The sequence below is a fragment of the Homo sapiens genome, chromosome 10, assembly GCF_000001405.40.
Source record: "Homo sapiens chromosome 10, GRCh38.p14 Primary Assembly".
NCBI classification, from domain to species: Eukaryota; Metazoa; Chordata; class Mammalia; order Primates; family Hominidae; genus Homo; species Homo sapiens.
In genome coordinates this window covers 35,079,910-35,102,032 of record NC_000010.11, presented here as the reverse complement: position 1 = coordinate 35,102,032, position 22,123 = coordinate 35,079,910, and the positions used below count along the sequence as shown (strand labels likewise).

At 43.7% G+C, this 22,123-nt stretch overlaps 1 protein-coding gene across 8 annotated transcripts in view, besides 5 other annotated features; it reads left to right on the top strand.

Annotated features, from left to right (window-relative positions):
• CUL2 (cullin 2) overlaps positions 1-22,123 on the top strand; it is a 118,456-nt gene that overhangs the window by 24,974 nt on the left and 71,359 nt on the right. For 4 of the 8 annotated variants that reach the window (XM_011519745.2, XM_047425852.1, XM_011519743.1 and 1 more), the window contains one exon: positions 973-1,189. In XM_011519745.2, the coding sequence (XP_011518047.1) occupies positions 1,023-1,189 (167 nt within the window). In that variant the 5' untranslated portion in view covers positions 973-1,022. Of the gene's footprint in view, positions 1-972; positions 1,190-11,418; positions 11,604-11,691; positions 11,855-12,031; positions 12,138-22,123 lie in introns of those variants that run through there. The other 4 variants (NM_001324375.2, NM_003591.4, XM_011519747.2 and 1 more) reach the window with 3 other exon arrangements.
• Positions 11,272-11,411: an enhancer, noted in NCBI's record as "active region_3258". NCBI's record gives its function as "activates an Ori minimal core promoter by ATAC-STARR-seq in GM12878 lymphoblastoid cells {active_cell/tissue: GM12878}" and the evidence as "EXISTENCE:reporter gene assay evidence [ECO:0000049][PMID:35858748]".
• Positions 11,272-11,518: a biological region, named in NCBI's record as "ReSE screen-validated silencer GRCh37_chr10:35379443-35379631".
• Positions 11,330-11,518: a silencer, noted in NCBI's record as "fragment chr10:35379443-35379631 (GRCh37/hg19 assembly coordinates)". NCBI's record gives its function as "represses an EF-1alpha promoter that drives an FKBP-Casp9 reporter gene in an ReSE screen in K562 erythroleukemia cells {active_cell/tissue: K562}" and the evidence as "EXISTENCE:reporter gene assay evidence [ECO:0000049][PMID:32094911]".
• Positions 11,572-11,771: a silencer, noted in NCBI's record as "silent region_2298". NCBI's record gives its function as "represses an Ori minimal core promoter by ATAC-STARR-seq in GM12878 lymphoblastoid cells {active_cell/tissue: GM12878}" and the evidence as "EXISTENCE:reporter gene assay evidence [ECO:0000049][PMID:35858748]".
• Positions 11,792-11,921: a silencer, noted in NCBI's record as "silent region_2297". NCBI's record gives its function as "represses an Ori minimal core promoter by ATAC-STARR-seq in GM12878 lymphoblastoid cells {active_cell/tissue: GM12878}" and the evidence as "EXISTENCE:reporter gene assay evidence [ECO:0000049][PMID:35858748]".

Sequence of the window (22,123 nt, the reverse complement as noted above, 5' to 3'; positions counted from 1 at the left end):
CTCTACTTCAGGTGATTGGCCTGCCTGGCAATGGCTCACACCTGTAATCCCAGCATTTTGGGAGGCTGTTTCTTATTTTATTAGTCAAGTGCAGACACTAAATAACTTAGGTATGTTACAGCTACAACACAGATATCCTGTTTTTCATGCTCTGTTAGTTCTACTCCCTCTAATTAGAAACCATTCCCCTTTGGTGCACTAGAATTAGAGCAGGGAGCCGAGCACAAGCTGTACTGCTACAAATGTCAATAGCAACTGCTCTAGTTCTGGGTGAAATACATCTTCTAATTATGCTTTTGATACTGGAGTAGAATTGAATGATACAAAAGATTAGTTTGGAACTGAAGAGTTACAAGAGTTGATTCAGAAGAAACGAGTGCTTGTGTGTGTGGTCACTGAGCTGTGAGAGGACCTAGCATCCCACTTGTAACTCTTCAGTTCAAAACTAATCTTGGTCTCAGGGGTTCTACAGCAGGAATTAGTAGGCATGAATCTATTGTGTTGACACTTCCATCACTTAAGTCTTCATTGTAGCTTCCAGTAAAACAGGAATAATAATGGACCCTAAAAATCAAAGCAACTGTTTTGATGTGAGTTAATCTGGTGATATTAAAACAGATTCCTGTGTATGGCTAGATGTTGGTACTAATGAGGTCAATGTGTGGTCTCCACATTTTCTACAATGGTAGACCCGTTGTCTCCATGCTGAAAGCAACTGGTTCTGTAGTTTTGAGCTGTCCCACAATTATAAGCCACTATTGCCAGCGGCATCAGGTGAATGTCTGTTGATGGCTTAATACCTCTCACCTTTATTAGAGATTTTTAGTTGAGCTAAATTAAATGCCCAACTGGCTATGAGACTCTTCCAGATAGAAGGCTGGAAACCTCATGATCTGATCTGAATAAGGTTCCTGTATTCCCACAACCCAGAAGACCTCTCCTCTAATTCCCTCTCCCTTTTCTCACTCCTAGGATAGAGGCACTCTCCATTCCTGATTGTTCCAAGGCTCAAGTGGTCAGAAATGACTGGGAAGAAGGGAGAAAAACTCAGGTGGCAAAGGACATGGACGAAAACCCATGGCGACATGGAAAGAAAACCCTGTGATATAGAGAGGAAAAGCACAGGACAGCTTATTGGGGAGAATGGAACTCTTCTGTATCCTGATTGCGGTGATGGCCACGCATGGCTGTAAGTGGGTTGAAATGGATAGAAGGTACACCCCTCTCCCCTGTCAATTTTTACTGTAGGGTCTTTTTTTTTTTTTTTTTTTTTTTTTGAGATGGACTCTGTCTCCCAGGTTGGAGTGCAGTGGTGCTATCTTGACTCACTGCAACCTCTGCCTCCTGGGTTCAAGCGATTCTCCTGCTTCAGCCTCCCGAGTAGCTGGGATTACAGGTATGCACCACCATGCCCAGTTAATTTTTCTATTTTTAGTAGAGACGAGGTTTCGCCATGTTGGCCAGGCTGGTCTTAAATTCCTGACCTCAAGTGATCCGCCTGCCTCGGCCTCCCAAAGTGCTGGGATTACAGGCATGAGCCACCACGCCTGGCCTGGGTCATTTAAAAATAAAAATAAAACCAGAAAAACAGAAAATAAAGTATAAAACAGTGCAATAGGGGCCATGCCTCCAATCTTTTCTAATAAGAGAAATGTGATGAGGATGTAGTCTTCAAGTGAGTAACTTGTTACATGTAGTGCAGGTTATAAAAGGCCCAGCAGATTTATCCTTTTTTATTTCTAGCGGAATGTTTGGTGCATACTCTGATCTAAGAGTTCATATTGTGAATGTTTTTTCTTTGTTTTATTTCTAATAGCAAAAGATGTCTTTTTGGAAGCAAGATGTTGCTAACCTTTTTTTAGGTTGGTGTTATGCCAGACTATTTTATTTTATATAATATTTTATTAAATATTAAATGACTGTACAAGACCGGGCACAGTAGCTCATGCCTATAATTCCAGCACTTTGGGAGGCCAAGACAGGAGGATTGCTTGAGACCAGGAGTTTCAGACCAGCCTGGGCAACATAGCAAGACTCTGTCTCTAGAAAACAAAAAAAGAAAACAAAAACCCCACTACACAATTCTTAGTATATTAGTCTTATTCACTTGCCCACAGAGATCTAGTCAAGTAAACCATAAGGTTAATAAAAGTCCATTTTTTTCTTTTTTTCTTTTGGCTTACTTAACACATATTTTATTTATTGGAAAAGGCATTGACACTTAGCTCAGATTCTTAACCTTGCCATCCATATCTAAGTAAGCTATTTTATTTTTTTATTTTATTTTGGGTGGAGTCTTGCTCTGTCGCCCAGGCTGCAACCTCTGCCTCTCAGGTTCAAGCGATTCTCGTGCCTCAGCCTCCCAAGTAGCTAGGATCATAGGCATGCACCACCACACACAGCTAATTTTTATTTTATTTTTTTATTTTTAGTAGAGACGGGCTTTCACCACGTTGACTAAGCTAGTCTTGAACTCGTGACCTCAGGTGATCCACCTGCCTCAGCCTCGCTAAGTCTAAGTATGCTATTTTAGAAATCTGGTTGTATAATCTTGGGTAGTTTCTACTTCTAACACTGATGTTGAGCAAACCCAGTATTCAGGAACCACTTGGTACAAGTTAATTTTTTTTTTTTTTTTTTTTTTAGACGGAGTCTCACTTTGTCGCCAGGCTGGAGTGCAGCCATGCTATCAAGGCTCACTGCAATCTCCGCCTCCCAGGTTCAAGTGATTCCCCTGCCTCAGTCTCCCGAGTAGCTGGGACTACAGGCGCGTAACACCATGCCCAGCTAATTTTTTTGTATTTTAGAAGAACAGGTTTTAACCATGTTGGCCAGGATGGTCTGGATCTCCTGACCTCGTGATCTGCCCTCCTCGGCCTCCCAAAGTGCTGGGATTAAAGGCATGAGCCAATGCACCCAGCCCAAGTTAATATTATTGATCAACCACCTTCCTTAGCCCAGGAACTACGTCTTTTAGTCCATTTGTTCTTTCTGTGAATTAGCTTCCCTCCAGACTTACCACATTTGACTTGTTCGCTTTCTTTGTTCCTATCTTCTCAAATGAGATGGCCTATATTACTTATTTAATTTATTTATTTCGAGACAGAGTCTTGCTTTGTTGCCCAGGCTGGAGTGCAATGATGCAATCTCAACTCACTACAACCTCTGCCTCCTAGGTTCAAGCAATTCTCCTGCGTCAGCCTCCCAAGTAACTGGGATTACAGGCGCCTGCCACCGTGCCCAGCTAATTTTTTGGTTTTTTTTAGTAGAGATGGGGTTTCGCCATGTTGGCCAGGTTGGTCTCGAACTCCTGACCTCAGGTGATCCACCCGTGTTGGCTTCCCAAAGTGCTGGGATTACAGGCATGAGCCACTGTGCCCCGCCTGCTTATTTTTATTAAGTTACAAGTTCTTCCATCTTCTTTGTCATCATCCTTATCTGGGTGGGTCACAATTCATATTTTGCTCTTGGTAACACACATTTTTTTTTTCTTGGTAGAAATAGGTCTTGTCTTGAACTCCTGACCTCAAGCAATCCTCTTGCCTTGGCTTCCTAAAGTGCTGGTATTACAGGTGTAAGCCACCGTGCCTGGGGTATTTTTAATATGATGTAACAGTTCAGAAAAATGTCATCTCCCCTTCTTTCACATGTCATGTATAAGTCCTTGCAATCCATTACCCAGATTTACTCTGTATTCCCAATTTTGAGAAATCATAAATGCATCATCTATCTCAAATAGTGAGTTATCTATCTCAAATAGTGGGCTTTTCCTCAAAATGAGTTCTTTTTCAGTGCAGCTTTTAGCTTATTAAATTACCTGTCTAAAAGTGACTGCAAAGAAATATAAAGGATCCACTGGTAATTTCTTTTTATTAAAAAAGAATACTTTTTATATTTCCTTTTAAAATAGCTTTCAACCAGAATTGTCTAGGAGAGGCAAAGATATAACCTGTTCATCTGGTACCACTATCACCCACAGAATATGATATGAGTTCTGAGCTTTTCCGATTAAAGACCTTGTACTTTTGTTCTTTTATTTATTTATTTAATTTTATTTAATTAATTAATTTTTTTGAGTCAGAGTCTTGGTCTGTCACCCAGGCTGGAGTGCAGTGGCATGATTGTGGCTCACTGCAACCTCTGCCTCCTGGGCTCAAGTGATTCTCATGTCTCAGCCTCCCCAGTAGCTGGGACTACAGGCATGCACCACCAAGCCTGGCTAATTTTTGTATTTTTGGTAAAGATGGGGTCTTGCTGTATTGCCCAGGGTAGTCTCAAACTCCTGACCTCAAGTGATCCACCCACCATGGACTCCCAAAGTGTCAATTGCAGGCGTGAGCCACTGTGCCCAGCAGGAATTTGTCTAATATTCTTCTCATGATAGACTGGGCTTAGGGGTTTGGGGAGGATGATCACAGAGGTAAAGTGCCATTCTCAGCACATCATGCCAAGGGTACATTGTTAATACTGGGCTTGATCACCTGACTGAAGGGTATTTGTCAGATTGCACCACTGTAAGTTCTTTTTTTTTTTTTTTTTTTGAGACAGGGGGTCTTGCTCTGTTGCCCAAGCTGGAGGGCAATGGTGCGATCACAGTTCACTGCAATCTCAATCTCCTGAACTCAAGCAATCCTTCCACCTCAGCCTCCCCAGGCTGGTCTTGCACTTCTGGCCTCAAGCAATCCTCCCTCCTTGAGGTGTACTGAGCCAGCTTAAGGGTACAGCTAGGAAAAATCCAAGGCACAGATGCATCTGGCTGCTTTTTCCAAAGAGGTTCGCAGGAAGTTCAGTATTTATACATTTTTCTTAAATCAAGGGGGTGGCAGTGAGCAAATAGTTACCTACTTGTGACACTTTAGTTGGTGCTCAGTAAATCTACAGTTTACATAAGATAAGGTAAACCTTTGAAGAAAAGGGGCATGAGGCTGGGCACGGTGGCTCACGCCTGTAATCCTAGCACTTTGGGAGGTTGAGGTGGACGGGTCATGTGGAGACAGGAGTTCGAGACCAGCCTGGCCAACATGGTGAAACCCCGTCTCTACGAAAAATACAAAAAATAGCCGAGTATGGTGGAAGGCGTCTGTAATCCCAGCTACTTGGGAAGCTGAGGCAGGAGAATCACTTGAAGCCAGGAGGCAGAGGTTGCAGTGAGCTGAGATTGCACCACTGCACTCCAGCCTGGGCAACAGAGTGAAACTCCATCTCAAAAAAAAAAAAAAAAAAGTGGACCTGAAGCTACATCTTTCTACTACTAAAAACCTAACACGAGCAATTTAGTTTCAGCAAACAACACCATCTGTCTCTCAGTTGGCTCCTGTGCCCCTTTGAAATACTCTTATGGAAGCAGATTTTGTTTTGTTTTGTTTTTTAGTACTTCCTTACTTTCTTAACCTATACAGTTTTGTTTATTTGTTTGTTTAAAGATAGGGTCTGGCTCTGTTACCCAGTCTGTAGTGCAGTGGCATAATCACAGCTCACTGCAAACATGACCTCCTGGACTCAAGTGATCCTCCCATTTCAGCCTCCAGAGTAGCTGGGACTACAGGCATGCACCACCATACCCAGCTGCTATTTTGTTGTATTTATTTTTCATAGAGACAGGGTTTTGCTCTGTTGCCCAGGCTGGTCTTGAACTCCTGGCCTCAAGTAACCCTTCTATCCCCATCTTCCAAAGTGCTGGGATTACAGGCATGAGCCACTGTACCCGGCCATCACGTCAGCCACTTCTTTAAAGAGACTCGCACTTTTGTAAGCTCAAAATAGCTGTTTTGTTTTGTTTTTTTCTTTTCTGAGACAGAGCCTTACTCTGTTGCCCATGCTGGAGTGGCAAGATCTCAACTCACTGAAACCTCTGCCTCTGAGGTTCAAGTGATTCTCCTGCCTCAGCCTCCTGAGTAGCTGGGATTACAGGCACACACCACCAGCCCAGGCTTATTTTTGTATTTTTAGTAGAGATAGGGTCTGACCATATTGGCCAGGCTGGTCTCAAGGTCCTGGCCTCGAGCAATCCACCCGCCTCGGACTCCGAAAGTGCTGGGATTACAGGCTAAGCCATCACGCCCAGCCTCAAAATAGCTCCTTAATGAGCCACTCCAAACGTTAAAACTGTTGTACAGTATCTAGGGGTATCCCAAAATAAAAGGTAGAAAAATGTTTAATACATGACATAACTGGCCGGGCTTGGTGGCTCACGCCTGTAATCTCAACTCTTTGGGAGGCTGAGGCGGGTGGATCACTTGAGGTCAGGAGTTCAAGACCAGCCTGGCCAATATGGTGAAACCTTGTCTCTACTAAAAATACAAAAAAATTCGCTGGGTGTATTGGCATGTGCCTGTAGTTCCAGCTACTCGGGAGTCTGAGGCATGAGAATGGCTTGAACCGGGGAGGCGGAGGTTGCAGTGAGCAGAGATCACACCACTGCACTCCAGCCCGGGCAACGGAGGGAGACTCTGTCTCAAAAATATATATACACACACACACAAAATAATTATTTGCATTTTCATAAAGATCAAAATCAGAGAAGTACAAATAGCTGACTACAAAATAGCATATATATTATATGTTCTGATACGTATAAAAATATATTTAATCATATTCATAGAAATAAATTGTGAGTTATGTACATCAACCCAAACATGATTCTCTATTTCTGTAATAGAGGTAGTTTTTACAAAAAGCATGTATTTCTTTCTTTCTTTTTTTTTTTTTTTGAGATGGAGTCTTGCTCTATTGTCAGGCTGGAGTGCAGTGGCATGATCTCGGTTCACTGCAATCTCCACCTTGTGAATTCAAGTGATTCTCCTGCCTCAGCCTCCTGAGTAGCTGGGATTTCAGGCATGCAGCACTATGCCCAGCTAATTTTTGTATTTTTTTAGTAGAGACAAGGTTTTACCATATTGGCCAGGCTGGTCTCGAAGTGATCCACCTTACCTCAAGTGATCCACCAGCCTCAGCCTCCCAAAGTGCTGGGATTACAAGTGTGAGCCATTGTGCCCCGCCAACATTACTTTTGAAGTCAGAAACAATTATAAAGGAATTAAATAAACATACAAGGCCAAAACACAGTTTTGTAAAATGTAGCATTAGCTAAAAAGTAAAACAAGGAAAGCAATCATAGATGAACTAGGATTTGAGGTTTGTTTGGGGAGTAAGGACCAACTAATGCTAAAAGTGGTAACTTAAAGGGTTACCCAGAAAGAATTTTTTTTTCTGGAAAAGAAGTAATTTCACTTTGATATTAAGGGCTTGGATGCTAATAACTATTTTACGAATATTATTTCCCTACTGTAGAGTTTGGGTAAACTGTCAAGAGGTGGGGGCAATCTCTGGAATTTAGAAATAAAGGGGGCTGTTATAGTGATTCATGGTTGGCACCCTTCACGCTCGATCACATTTCCAACCAGAGTTAAGAGGAACATGATGAGAGTGAAGGAATTTCATGAGTTAGAGCAGTGGTTCTCAAACTTTTCAGTTTCTTTACACGCTTAAAAATTACTCTAGCTGGGTGCAGTGGCTCCCGCCTGTAATCCCAGCACTTTGGGAGGCCCAGGCGGGCAAATCACCTGAGGTCAGGAGTTCAAGACCAGCCTGACCAACATGGTGAAACCCCATCTCTACTAAAAATACAAAATTAGCTGGGCGTGGTGGCACGTGCTTGTAATCTCAGCTACTCGGGAGGCTGAGGCAGGAGAATAGCTTGAACCTGGGAGGCGGAGGTTGCAGTGAGCCAAGATCGCACCATTGCACTCCAGCCTGGGCAACAAGAGCGAAACTCCATCTCAAAAAAAAAAAAAATTATCGAGGACTTAGAAGAGCTTATGTTCATGTGGGTTATATCTATTGTATTATGCCATTCTTGTATTGTTATAATGAAATACCTGAGACTGTGTAATTGATGAAATAAAGAGGTTTAATTGGCTCATGGTTCTGCAGGCTGTACAAGAAGCACGATCCTGGCATCTGCTCAGTGTCTAGGGAGGCCTCAGGAAACTATCTATCTATAAATAGTTATTGTATTAGAAATTTAAAGGATAAAAATTTTTAAATTACTGATTAATTTTAAAAATAATAAACCAAACACATTTAACATAAATTGCATGCTTTTATGAAAAATAACCATATTTTCCAAAATAAAAAAAATTTGATCAGAGGAAAAGGATTGCTTTTGTATTTTTGCAACTCTCTAAATATTTGATTTAATAGAAGATAGCTAGGTTCTCTATGGTTGAAATATATGAAGAAACTCAGGCCTTTGAAAGAAAATTAAATAGTCTTTTTGGATAATTATGGATATTCTTCTTTGATACTATAGTGAAATTCAACAAGTGGTAATTTCTTCTTCTTTTCTTTTCTTTTTTTTTTTTTTTTTTTTTTGAGAGAAGGTCTGCCTTTATTGCCCAGGCTGGGTGCAGTATGGCGTGATCTTGGCTCACTGCAACATCTGCCTCCCAGGTTCAAGTGATTCTCCCACCTCAGCCTCCCAAGAAGCTGTGACTACCAGCACACACCACCATGCCTGGCTAAATTTTGTATTTTTTGTAGAGATGGGGTTTTGCTATATTGTCCAGGCTGATCTCAAATTCCTACACTCAAGAGATCTGCCCACCTCAGCCTCCCAAAGTGCTGGGAGGCATGAGCCACCAAGTCTGTCAATTGTTCTTTCAAGTAAAAATGGCCTTCCATTGTAATGGCCAGATGGGTTCTTCTTGGCTACTGCACAGACAAAATTCACCGAGACCAAGGTATTGCAGTAGAGAAAGTGTTTAATTGACCCAAGGCCAGTCACATAGGAGAACTGGAGTTATCACTCAAATCAGTCTCCCCCTGGGTTGGAGGTTGGGGTTTTTATGGACAATTTGGTGAGCAGGGGACTAGAGAATGGGTTCTGCTGATGGGTTGGGGATGGAATCATAGGGGTGTGGAAAACAGTCCTTGAGTGCTGAGCCTGCCTCTGGGTGGGGCCATAGGACCAGTTCTGAGTCATGAGTCACGAGTCCAGGTGGGGTCAGTCTGAAAAATATCTCAAAAAGCAATCTAAAGTTGTACAATACTGATGTTATTTATAGGAGCAACTGGGGAAGTCACAAATCTTGTGACCTCTGGCCACATGACCCCTGAGCAGTAAGGGAGTATATTAATAGAAATATGCCTACACTTTAGCAAAGTTCACACCCCTCCCATAATCCTATTCTTGCTGCTTTTCATTAGTCTTCCAAAGGTGGTTTTTCATCCCTAAGCAAGAGCAGGGGTAGTTTTAGGGAGGAACTTAGCTTTCAAGTTAAACCATAAACTAACTTCCTCCCCAAATTAAGTTGGCCTATGCCCAGGAATGACCAGGAACACCTTGGAGGTCAGAAGCAAGATTAAATCAATGAGGTCAGATTCCTCTTACTATCATGTTTTGCAAAGGCAGTTTCACCATGAAAAATGCAGGTAGTTCAGCCTGTAAGTCAACCACACAAGTGCTTTTCTTCAAGACAGCCATCCCACTTTGGCATGCAGAAGTGCATGTGTACTTCCCATTTCTTCACACAGAGTATTAGAAAGACTTGTATTCAAGGGCCAAAATTTAATAAAATTAATGCTTCCGCTTCATCCAGGATATTCCTAAATCAATAGCCTTAAAAACTGGGAATGTATGGCAGTGAAGAATACAGCGATCCAATGACCACCCGGACAGGTTGGTGGCACTGTCTTGATCCCTGCTAAGGCATCAATAGTGTCCGTATTCCTTTGCACCATCAGTACAAAAACAAACTCAGTCAAAAAGACAGAGGAGGCCAGGCATGGTGGCTCACTCCTGTAATCCCAGAACTTTTGGGAGGCTGAGGTGGGCAGATCGCTTGAGCTCAGGAGTTCCAGAGGAGCCTGGGCAACATAGTGAGACCCCATGTCTACCAAAAATACAAAAATTAGCTGGGTGTGGTGGCGCACGCGCCTGTAGTCACAGCTGCTTCGGAAACTGAGATGGTACACTCGCTTGAGCCCAGGAGTTTGAGGCCGCAGTGAGCTATGATCAGGCCACTGCACTCCTGCACTCCAGCCTCAGCGACAGAGGGAGACCCTGTGTCAAAAACAAAAACAAAACAAAACAAAAAGCAGGGGGGGCCTGACACGGTGGCTCAGGCCTGTAATCCTAGCACTTTGGGAGGCTGAGGTGGGTGGATTGCCTGAGCTCAGGAGTTCAAGACCAGCCTGGGCAATGTGGTGACATGGTGAAACCCTGTCTCTACAAAATACAAAAAATTAGCCGGGTGTGGTGGCGGGCTTCTGTAATACCAGCTACTCGGGAAGCTGAGACAGGAGAATCACTTGAACCCGGGAGGTGCAGGTTGCAGTGAGCTGAGATTGTGCCGCCACTGCATTCCAGCCTGGGTGACAGAGCAAGACTCTGTATCCAAAAAAAAAAAGGACCAGACATATTGCATTGTTAACAAACTAGTTGTTAACCTTATGACCTCTGTAAAGGTCTCAGGGATTTCCAGAGGTCTGGGGACCACACTTTGAGAATCACTAGATTAAAAGGGGGAAAACATGGGAGGAAAAAAAGGTCACATAATGGAAACATACTGTTGGATTGAATTTCGTATATAAAAACCCTTTACTGAAATAAAGAGTAGAGACTTCAAGTACCAAGAGAAGCAGATTAGAAGAGGAGGAAGGCTCTAGGGACTGATCAGGTCTGGAGGCAGGGTTTTAAATGGGCCTTGAAGGGTTCGTGCAGTTTGGAAGGAAGGGATGGGAGGGAAAAGCTTGCTGAATCGTATAAATGAACAAGACCCTGATGGTGAGCTCTTGAGGATATGAAAGGCAAAAAGCACTAAGGCCGGGCTTTTGTTCCTCTGTGGCCCTGCATATATGAGGAGGTGATGAGTAATTCTATATTTTTATCAGCTTTACCGTTTAAAACTCCAAGGGAGGAAAACCCTTCAAACTGATAGGCTTGGGGCTTGGTGAAGGTGGGGTATTAGTGAAAAAGATGTGAAGTTTCTTTATCGAAAATACATGTATGTCCAAGAAATTCTCTGTAGATAAAAACTAACAAGAAAAAGAGTTTGTCAGAGAGGAAAAGTAGTTTTGCTAATTTATTTTTGATCATTTGCAAAGCCCATGGAAGTGTGTGGCAAGAGGATTGTGGTGTCTTAGGATATTCACATAGGTCTGAAACAAGGAAAACATACTTCTGTTGAAAGCACCATTCCAACATATTGTTATTAGCAGTCCCTGAACTAACGGGTAGTGGGTGGGTACTGTGTCCATCAGCTCAGCGAACCGCAATTGCCTCATTGACAGCAAGCCCAGCAAGGAATCACTTGGAATATTAATTTCCGTGGCCTTTCGCAATCACACGAAGCTTGGCTCCCTGCGCTTGCCGTAACGCGGCCTGTACCATTGCTTTCCGGGTGGCGGGGGGGATTTGGCAGCAGCGGAAGAAGGAGACCGGAGGGTGTGTGTTGGGCAAAGCCGGAGGCAGAGGAGGACGATTGTTTTACGGATCCCGTGATCGGCCCGTCCTTCTCCCCTTTCCCCCCCTCCCTACCGCCCCTGTCCCGCCGGGGAGCGGCGGCGGCCTTGGACTTTGCTGTCTTTCCTCGCGGAGACAGGTGAGTGTCGGCGCGCGGGCTCCCCGGGCTTCGCTCCCCACCCCCCGCGTCTCCGGGGCCGGTGGCGGCGGCCGGCCGGGGAGGCGGCCTCGGCGCACAGTAATGGCAGCGCTGTGAGCAGGGGAACGCGAGCTGACAGCCGCCGCCGCCGCCGCCTCCGCCCACCTTCCTCGCCGGGGCTTCGTCTTTCACTCCTTCGGGCTGCCTCCCCCTCCCCTTGTCCCCTGCCCCTTGCCCTGCTTCTGCAGAAGGTAACCCCGCTGAGGGTCGGGGAGCCGGGCTGCAGGCGCCGGGAAACTTCCCTTCCCGGTTAATGGGTGGCGGGGCTGGGGCGGAGGAGAGGAGTTGGGGGCGACGAGGTGTGGGGAGAGGGATGAAAGGGGGAGGCCCGGGAAGATGGTATCCTGTAAGTGACCTCGGCTCCCCAGAGCGCTGACCCGTAAGCCCTGCCACCCCCTGGACTGGATCCCGGGCCTCCCCAACCCGATCTTGGCCGCCTCTCCCGCGGCCCCATTTTCCTTCGAAGGAGGGAAGGTGAGAGTGCGTGTATTCTTCTACATATTTACGTGCTCACACGAATACACAACTCTGTGTGTTTGTGTGTGTGTGTGGGGGGGGGCATCTCATGCATCCTTACCCCGAGTGTTTTCACTTTTGTTTCCGCAGACTGCAAAGATTGATAGCTTTGGGGAGGAGTATCCTACGTGCATGCTAGACTTCTTGTCTCAACCCTTAGGGTCTGGTGAAATAAGATCCTCACACGCTTTCTAGCACTTGCTTACCCTCTAGAGAGTCTGGACCATTCCCTACCATTACGTGCATGCAAATAAAACATCTGTGAATTGCAGACTGTTATTAATGTTAAGTCCACATCTTTGCCCCATGGATTAATATTAACAGTTGAAGGCCAGTACCCTGGGCGTTTAAATTTTGAAGATAAGATGCAAAATATTAACGTTCGCTATAGATTGTGACTGTTCAACATAAACGTCTTTGAACTAGACCTGGCCAAGCCTACCTTCGTAGTAAAGTATCGGAAATAATCACTTTGATCTGATTGACAACTGACTACATAATAATCGCTTAAAAACATTCAAAACACTGTTGCCTACCCTTTAGAATCTTACATTCCTTTTCAAGACAGACACATGAACAAATGAGCTATACTTTGCTTCTTTTGCCCTTATACAGTATCTGGAAGATCCTTCCAAAAGAGTCGCGTGAGATAAGAGAAGTACACAGTTTTTTTGTTTTGAGATGGAGTTTTGCTCTTGTCACCCAGGCTGGAGTGCAGTGGTGCGATCTCGGCTCACTGCAACCTCCGCCTCCCGGGTTCAAGCAATTCTTCTGCCTTAGCCTTCCATGTAGCTGGGATTACTGGCATGCGCCACCATGCCCGGCTAATTTTGTATTTTTAGTGGAGATGGGGTTTCACCATGTTGGCCAGGCTGGTCTTGAACTCCTGACCTCAGGTGATTCGCCTGCTTAGGCCTCCCAAAGTGCTGGGATTACAGGCCTGAGCTACTGCGCCCAGCCCACAGTGTTTTGAATTACTTGTTTTTTTCAATTGCTGTTTATGAGTTGGGGGAACATTTCTACAATGTGCATGCACATAGCGTGGGAAAAATTCCTTTTCAATTGCTTTTTGAGTATTTGGATGTTCTCCTGCATCTGAAATACTCTTCATTCTCCATCCTTGCTGGTGGCTTTCAGTGTTCTATAAATGTGAAGATTATCCATGTCTTTTACCCTCACCAGTTTGTCACTAGATTAAACGTTATGGACCTTCTTTAAAGTCATTTTTGCGTTGTCTGGCAGTTGACAGATATTTATTAAGCACCTGGTTTATTTGTCAAGCAGGGCTGCAGGCATTAAGGTTACAAGGGTAAACAAGACACATTACATTTCTTTTTTTTTTTTTTTTTTTTTTGAGGCGGAGTCTCGCTCTGTCACCAGGCTGAAGTGCGGTGGCACGATCTGGGCTCACTGCAACCTCCCAGTTCAAGCAATTCTCCTGCCTCAGCCTCCTGAGTAGCTGGCACTACAGGCGCACGTCACCACGCCCAGCTAATTTTTGTATTTTTAGTAGAGACTGGGTTTCAACATGTTGGCCAGGGTGGTCTTGATCTCTTGACCTCATGATCCGCCCTCCTCAGCCTCCCAGAGTGCTGGGATTATAGGCGTGAGCCACCACACCTGTCCAACCCATTAAATTTCTATCCTCTTGGAGTGTCACTTCTGGCTTGGGATGGAGAGACAGACAGTATATAAGAAATAATCTCAGAGAATAAGTGCTGTGTGGGAAATAAGGTAAGGAGTTGTGGTAGTGATTGGGAGATTACTTCAGATACTGTAACCAGAAAAGAACTTCCTGAGGTGAAGTTTGAAATTCTGAGGGAACAGTTTTCCTATTTTAGGGAGGAACAAATGGAAAAACCCTGAGGTGCTATCAAACTTGGATTGAACAAACTGAAATTGGCTTAAGGTGGACCCTAGTAAGAGATTAAAGGTGGGTCCTAGCCAGGGGCTGGATCATGTTGGCTTTGTTCTTAGATACATTAAAAGGCTTTTGGAACTCTTCTAAACTGAGAGGTCTGATTGAGAATCAGACTGTTGATTGGAGAAGAGAGACACAAGGAGACCAGTGAGAAGAGCAGTGGCTGTGGAGGGTTAAGGTACAAGTGAAAACGTTTTGAGATTTATTTTGGAGTTGAAGATACTTATTGAAATTGTCATGTTTTGGATGAGCATGCAGTTGGGATGGGTCAATTCTGGGTTTTTGGCTTCTGCTGGAGGATGATGATGCTGTGTACTGAGATGAAGAAGAGGTTGGGGGAAGCAGGCTGTTGTATGGGATGGGGTTGGATTGGACATGTTAAGTTGGATTTCGTTGTTCAAGTGGAGGTGAGAAGTAGGTGATTGGAAATAAGTGTGGAACTTAGAGGTTAAGGAGTGATTCAGCCATCCAACGAGGGCTTCTCAAGCACCAGCTTTAAACCAGATGTGTGGATATAGTGGTTAAAAAATTTCTGGCTTCATGGAACTTAAGTTCTAGTGAAGAGAGGAAAATGGATATGGAGAGTCATCAGCATTTATTTATTGGTATACTAATGTTTTGAACAAAAACTGTATTCACATGGCTCAAAATTTAAGATGTTAGTCTGGGCAACATGGTGAGACCCCATGTCTACAAAAAATAATTTAAAAAACATTAGCCAGGCGTGGTGGCGCACGCCTGTAGTACCCGCTGTTGGGAAGCTGAGGCCAGATGACCAGGTTGGAAGTGGCAGTGATCTGTGATTGCACCACTGCACTCCAGCCTGAGTGACAGAGTGAGACCCTGTCTCTAAAACAAACAGAAAACCAAAATATAAAATTGTCAGTAGGGAATAGAATGAAAATCTCCCTCCACTTCTTGTACCCTTGTCATCCAGCTTTCCTTGGAGCCAAACATTGTTAGCTGTTTCTTAGATCTCCTTGGAAAAAAATATTTGTGGACATATAAGCAAATATTGTTCCCACTTTGCAGAAACAGTAGTACACTTTACTTTGACATTTGTATTTTTTAGAGTGTTAAATAGTAGTTAAGTTATGAAATAGGATGAGAACACAGAGAATGTAGAAAGAGGATAAAACTGTGGAGTACTGCAGCATTTTCTGATTTGGTCCCTGCCCTTGTTAAGTTCATTTATTTATTTATTTATTTATTTTGAGATGGTGTTCGCTCTGTCACCCAGGCTGGAGTTTGTATTTTTAGTAGAGATGGGGCTTCACCATGTTGGCCAGGCTGGTCTCGTTAAGTTTTTGACCTACAGGTGTGGAGTTGTTTAAAAAGCTGTTTCCGGCCACGTACGGTGGCTCAGGCCTGTAATCCCAGCACTTTGGGAGGTTGAGGTGGGTGGATCACTTGAGCCCAGCAGCTTGAGACCAGCTTGGGCAACATGGCGAACCCTGTCTGTACAAAAAATACAGAAATTAGCCAGGTGTGGTGGTGCAGGCCTGTAATCCCAGCTGCTAGGGAGGTTGAGGTGAGAGGATTACTTGAACCCAGGAGGTGGAGGCTGCAGTGAGCCACTATACTCCAGCCTGGGTGACAGAACTAAGAGAGTTTCATTGTGTTGCCCAGGCTGGTCTCGAACTCCTGGGCTCAAACAATTCTCCCACCTCAGCCTCCCTAAGTGTTAGGATTACAGGCGTGATCCACTGTGCCCGGCCTTGTTTCTTGTTTCTTTTTTTTTTTTGAGACAGAGTCTCTCAGTCTGGAGTGCAGGGGCTCAATCTCAGCCCACTGCAGCCTCCACTTCCCGAGCTGGGACTACAGGCGCCCTCCACCACTCTCAGCTAATTTTTGTATTTTTAGTAGAGACAAGGTTTCACTATGTTGGCCAGGCTGCTTGTTTCTTTATTTTTATCTTTTTCAACTTTCATTTTAGATTCAGGAGGTACACACGTAGGTTTGTTACCCGGGTATATTGTGTGATGCTGAGGTTTAGGATACAATGATCCCGTCACTCAGGTGCTGAACATAGTACCCAACCGTTTTTCAACCCTTATGCCCTTCCTCCCTCGCTGTAAAAAGCTGTTTCTTTTTGTGAGACTTTACAAAAGTTTGCACTGTTTGTTTTGTGTTCTACCTTATCTGCCTGTTCTTTGTGTATTCTGGAAAAATGTCTGGCTGTGATTGAAAGCAATGTTTCATATGCACTATCAGTTTTTTTTTTTTTTTTTTTTTTGAGACAGAGTCTGGCTGTGTCTCTGGTTCCCGGGTTCACACCATTCTGCCTCAGCCTCCCGAGTAGCTGGGACTACAGGCGCCTGCCACCATGCCCGGCTAATTTTTTGTATTTTTCATAGAGATGGAGTTTCACCGTGTTAGCCAGGATGGTCTTGATCTCCTGACCTTGTGGTCCGCCTTCCTCAGTGTCCCAAAGTGCTGGGATTACAGGTGTGAGCCACACCGCGCCTGGCCCTAACAGTTATTTTTATTTTTATTTTTTTTTGGGACGGTGTCTCGCTTTGTCGCCCAGGCTGGAGCGCAGTGGCGCGATCTCAGCTCACTGCAAGCTCTGCCTCCTGGGTCTACGCCATTCTCCTGCCTCAGTCTCCAAAGTAGCTGGGACTACAGGCAGCCGCCACCATGCCTGGCTAATTTTTTGTATTTTTTTAGTAGAGACGGGGTTTCACTGTGTTAGCCAGGATGGTCTCAATCTCCTGACCTTGTGATCTGCCTGCCTCAGCCTCCCAGAGTGCTGGGATTACAGGTGTGAGCCACCACACCCAGCCAGTTATTTTTTATTATTATTATTTTTTGAGATGGAGTCTCACACTGTCACCCAGGCTGGAGTGCAGTGGCACAATCTCGGCTGACTGCATTCTCCGCCTCTGGCATTTAAGAGACTCTCCTGCCTCAGCTTCCCAAGTAACTGGGATTACAGGCGCCCACCACCACCCCCAGCTAATTTTTTTGTATTTTTAGTAGAGACGGGGTTTCACCATGTTGGCCAGGCTGGTCTTGAACTCCTGACCTCATGATTCACTTGCCTCGGCTTACCAAAGTGCTGGGATTACAAGTGTGAGCCACCAGGCCTGTCCAACTATCAGTTGTTTTTAAGTAAATTGATGACAGGATCAGCCCTAGAATCTTAATATTATGAGGACTTATGACTGGCTCATGTTAAATCTTGGAAAAACAAGCAGCGATTTGGAATGTTATGAGATTTATAACAAGTTATTGATCTATGAGATGTATGACTGAACCCTCTCTCAGTAATCAGTTAATCACAATATCTATTCAGAGTGATTTGGCTCTGTGCCTGGGTTTGAATCTTACTGGTAACGTATCTGTCATATTGCAGTTAGCATAATCTTTGGGTTACCTTTAAGAATGTATAGATTTCTATATCAGTACTTTATATTTGGCTTTTCATTGGGAAAGGCTTATTGGAGACAATCCCTTTGATTCTTAAAAGTTTTGAGACAGTAGTAGTGTTAGGTTAAGATTGTGGTGTTGGATCTGTAGAAACTTCCGGGGTGCCTTGAACCCTGTTGATTTTTCTTTTGGAGGAGGAGAGGTGGAATATTTCCTTTTGCTTTAAGCTTTGTTATTCTGGAGAATTAAAAATTCAGACTGATACTGTGTCTTGTTTGCTTGTTTGAGACAGAGTTTCACTCGTCACCCAAGCTGTAGTGCAGTGGCGCGATCTCAGCTCACTGCAACCTCTGCCTCCTGGGTTCAAGTGATTCTCCTGCCTCAGCCTCCCAAGTAGCTGGGACTATAGGTGTCTGCCACCACACCTGACTAATTTTTATATTTTTAGTAGAGATAGGGTTTTGCCATGTTGACCAGGCTGGTCTTGAACTCCTGACCTCAAGAGATCCGCCCTCTTTGGCCTTCCAAGGTGCTGGGATTACAGGTGTGAGCCACTGTGCCTGGCCTCTTTTATATAGTTTAACATTATAAATAATGTTAGTTACATCTATTAATTCAGTGACTTAGTCTTTCTCTATTGTAGGTTGCTTTTCAAAGAATGAAACATGGATTTGCCATATGTAAATTTTTAAAAATATCTCAGCCTTGTTTTAATTCAGTTGAAGGAGAGAAAGTACAGGCTATGCTCCAGGCTGGTTTTGAACTCCTTGGCTCAAGCAGTCCTCTTGCCTTGGTTTCCCAAAGTGTTGGGATTACAGCAGGCATGAGTCACTGTGACCCGCCTATGGTTTATAATCTAATCCTATCATTCATTATTTTGTTGCTCTGATTTGTTCCAGTTTTGACCTTTAGTTTAACTTGTGTCCTTTCGATATGCCCCCACCCTCTTTGTGGGGGGAAAGCACCTTCTATTTTCTGACATCATAGGTGTTCTAGGTTCAACTTGTATTTTTCCTGCTTCAGCCCTGGAATCAATCACTTTTCCAAGGAGGAGCTCTGGTTCCTTTTTTTGGAGAATGATATTTAGAAACCAAGATCTAAGTTCTATGTGTGCCCATTGCCACTGTGGTGTCATTCCTCCTAGGCCCTTCTCAGTGAACAGAGCTAGAAATATATGTATATTCAACCATGCATACACAAACATCTATGTTTATATCTTTTTATCTGCATGTATATGTGTGTTTGTGTATTCAAAACCATGAGTTTGTAAATGATACCTTTGATTACAACTCATTACCACAGGATTAATGCTTGCCTTTCCCCTTTATTTATAACTGCTATTTTCTGACGGTGGGAAATAGAAGATAGCTTTCTTTTTTTCTTTTTCTTTCTTTTTTTTTTTTTTTGAGATGGAGTCTTGCTCTCATGCAGGCTGGAGTGCAGTGGCTCGATCTTGGCTCACTGCAACCTTTGCCTCCTGGGTTCAAGCGATTCTCCTGCCTCAGCCTCCTGAGTAGCTGGGATTACAGGCACCTGCCACCACACCGACTAATTTTTGTATTTTTAGTAGAGATGGGGTTTCACCATGTTGGCCAGGCTGGTCTCAAACTCCTGACCTCAAGTGATCTGCCCGCCTTGGCCTCCCAAACTGCTGGGATTACAAGCATGAGCCACCATGCTCAGCCAAAGATACCTTTGTAATTATGTAAGTGTATAGTTACCAAAATAATGAATAATGTGACATCAAGAGAAAGATCCCCAAGTAGTCCTGAGCCTTCAGAAAAATTTTATCTCAAGATATTTCTCTTTTATTTGATAAAAGTCTGTCTGAACCAAAAATAGTATTTTGTCATCATAGTACCAAGTATTATTTTGATTAGAATGCATCCATTTAAAAATTTTTAGAGAGCATTTTGCAGTGAGATTCAGATACTTCTCTGACATCAGAACTTTGTACCTGTGATCTAGTTTTTAAGCACTTAAAACATACATGACATAAAATTTACCATTTTAACCGTCATTAAGGGTATAGTTTAGTGGTGTTAACTGCATTTACAGTGTCATTGTGACCCTCACCACCATTTCCAAAACCACCATTTCCAAAACTTTTTCGTTACTAGACAGAAACTGTACAACCATTAGGCAGTAGCTCCCCATTTCCCCTTCCCCCAGCATCTGATAACATCTCATCCTTCTTTCTGTCTTTATGAATTTGCCCACATACATACTTTTGTTTAAATAGGACCATAAGATATTTTTCACCTTGTGTCTAGTGTATTTGACTTAGCGTAATATCTTCAAGGTTAATCCTTGTCGTAGCATATATCGGAACTTTTTATTTTGAGAGACAAGGTCTGGCTCTGTTGCCCAGGCTGGAGTGCAGTGGTGTGATCATAACTCACTGCAGGCAAATTTTTTTTTTTTTTCAGTCAAGATGATGTCTTGCTGTGTTCCCAGGCTGGTCTTGAACTCCTGAGCTCAAGTGATCCTCCCACGTTGGCCTCCCAAAATGCTGGGATTACAAACTTGATCCAACTCACTGGCTCTCTTTGGGATTGTAAACAGGAGGTGTCAAGAAAGTTGCTAGAGGGTTAATTGATATGCATCTGCCATAACTGTATCCCCTTTTTAATTATTCTTCCATGCCTGTGTCTTCTATAGCAGTGTCAGGACATAGGCAGGATTTAATGTATTATATAGCAGTCAGCAAATACAGTAGATTGTAGTGGTGCGGTCACATCTTGGGCTCAAGTGATCCTCCCATCCCAGCCTCCCTAGTAGCTGGGACTACAGGTGCATGCCACCACACCTGGCTGATCTGTTTGTATTTTGTACAGGCGGGGTTCACCATGTTGCCCAGGTTGGCTGCGAACTCCTGGGCTCAAGCAGTCTGCCCATCTTGGCCTCGCAAAGTGCTGGGATTGTAGGTATGGGCCACTGCACACAGCCAAAAAATTTGTTCTCAATGTTTTGATAATTTGTGTAAAGGCTGGTTGGTTCTAGCTTTGTCTAGTATTCATACACGATGGGCTTGCCTAGTCATGAAGGACTCAGAAATTCAAATTCTCTAATTTACCTGAGATCGGGGATACATATATGAGAATAGTTTTTTTTAAAAATGTCAGTTTCTTAAATTCGTTGACTAGATTATTGAACAAAAAATGAGAAAGCAAGTGAAAATGGCGTTAAACTTCAAGCTGATAAGAGCGATGTGAAAACTTAAGAAACAAAGTATAGGCTGTGCAGTCTTATGGGAGTCTAAAGTTCATTGCAGAGAGGGGTCTTTTATTCTGGTGCAGTGGGTTTATTTTTGGAAGCAGGTAGCTGCTTTTTTGTGACAAGATCTTGGTCTTTTGGCCCAGGCTGGAGTGTGGTGGTGCCATTGTAGCTTAATGTAACCTTGAAGTCTCCTTTGCTCAAGCCAAGCTCCCACCTTAGCCTCCTGAGTAGCTGGGACTCCCTGCGGGCGCATGTTACCAGAGGGCCCAGCTACTATAATTTTATTTTTTTTTAAAGACCAGGTCTGTCTATGTTGCTAAGGCTGTTTTCAAACTCCCAGGCTCAAGTGATCCTCCCACCTCAGCCTCCCAAAGTACTAGGATTACAGGTGTGAGCCACCACACCTGGGTGCAAATGGCTTCTGTAACTTATTGTATTATGAATACATTCCCTACTCCCCACCGTGTCACCCTTTTTGAGACTTCAAGATGTTTTCCTGCAGTATACATTTTGGCACACACCATATGTCTGTTCACTCTTTTTTCCCCAACTCATTTGTTTTTGTAAAAAACCTACTAGAAATTCTAGGCTGGGTGCGGTGGCACACGCCTGTAATCCTAGTAATTTGGGAGGCCAAGGCTGGTGGAAGCTTGAGCTCAGGAGTTCAAGACCAGCCTGGGCAACATAGTGAAACCCCATCTCTACAAATACAAAAAAGTAGCTCAGTGCAGTGGTGTGTGCCTGTAGTCCCAGCTGCTCAGGAGGCTGAGGCGGGAGGATCACTTGAGCCCAGGAGGTCAAGGCTGCAGTGAACCAGGATCACACCACTGCACTGGGTGACAGAACAAGACCCTGTCTCAAAAATAAATAAATAAATAAATAAATAAATAAATAAATAAATAAATAAAAATAGGAATTCTAAAGCCAGAAAGTCATGATGGAAATGTTGTTTATGGAGTACTTAGAGCTCTGTGGGTCAAACCTTAGTGCAACAAAAAACATTGCACCCTTAACCTCCAAATAAGAAAGGGCATTCTTAGTTACATCCAGTGGCTTGCTCATTTGATACAGCAAGATGAAAATGTTTAGATGCATTCTTGGAGCTTATTTTAATATTAAATGATGGCAACATATTTGGTCATTGTGCACCATTGGCAGCTTTGGGCCCACCTATGGAAATGGAAAATAATGCCAAGTTAATATGGTATTCCACTTCCCTGCCTCCCTTATTCACAGTTTTGTTTTCTGCATTTTAGTTACCCACGGTCAATGGGGTCTGCAAATATTAAATGGAAAATTTCAGAAATAACTCATAATTAAATTCTGTACTGTCCTCAGTAGTGTGATGAAATCTTGCACTGTCCTGCTCAGACGTGAATCATCCCTTTGTCCAGCATCTCTACGCTGTGGATGCCTCCTGCCATTAGTCACT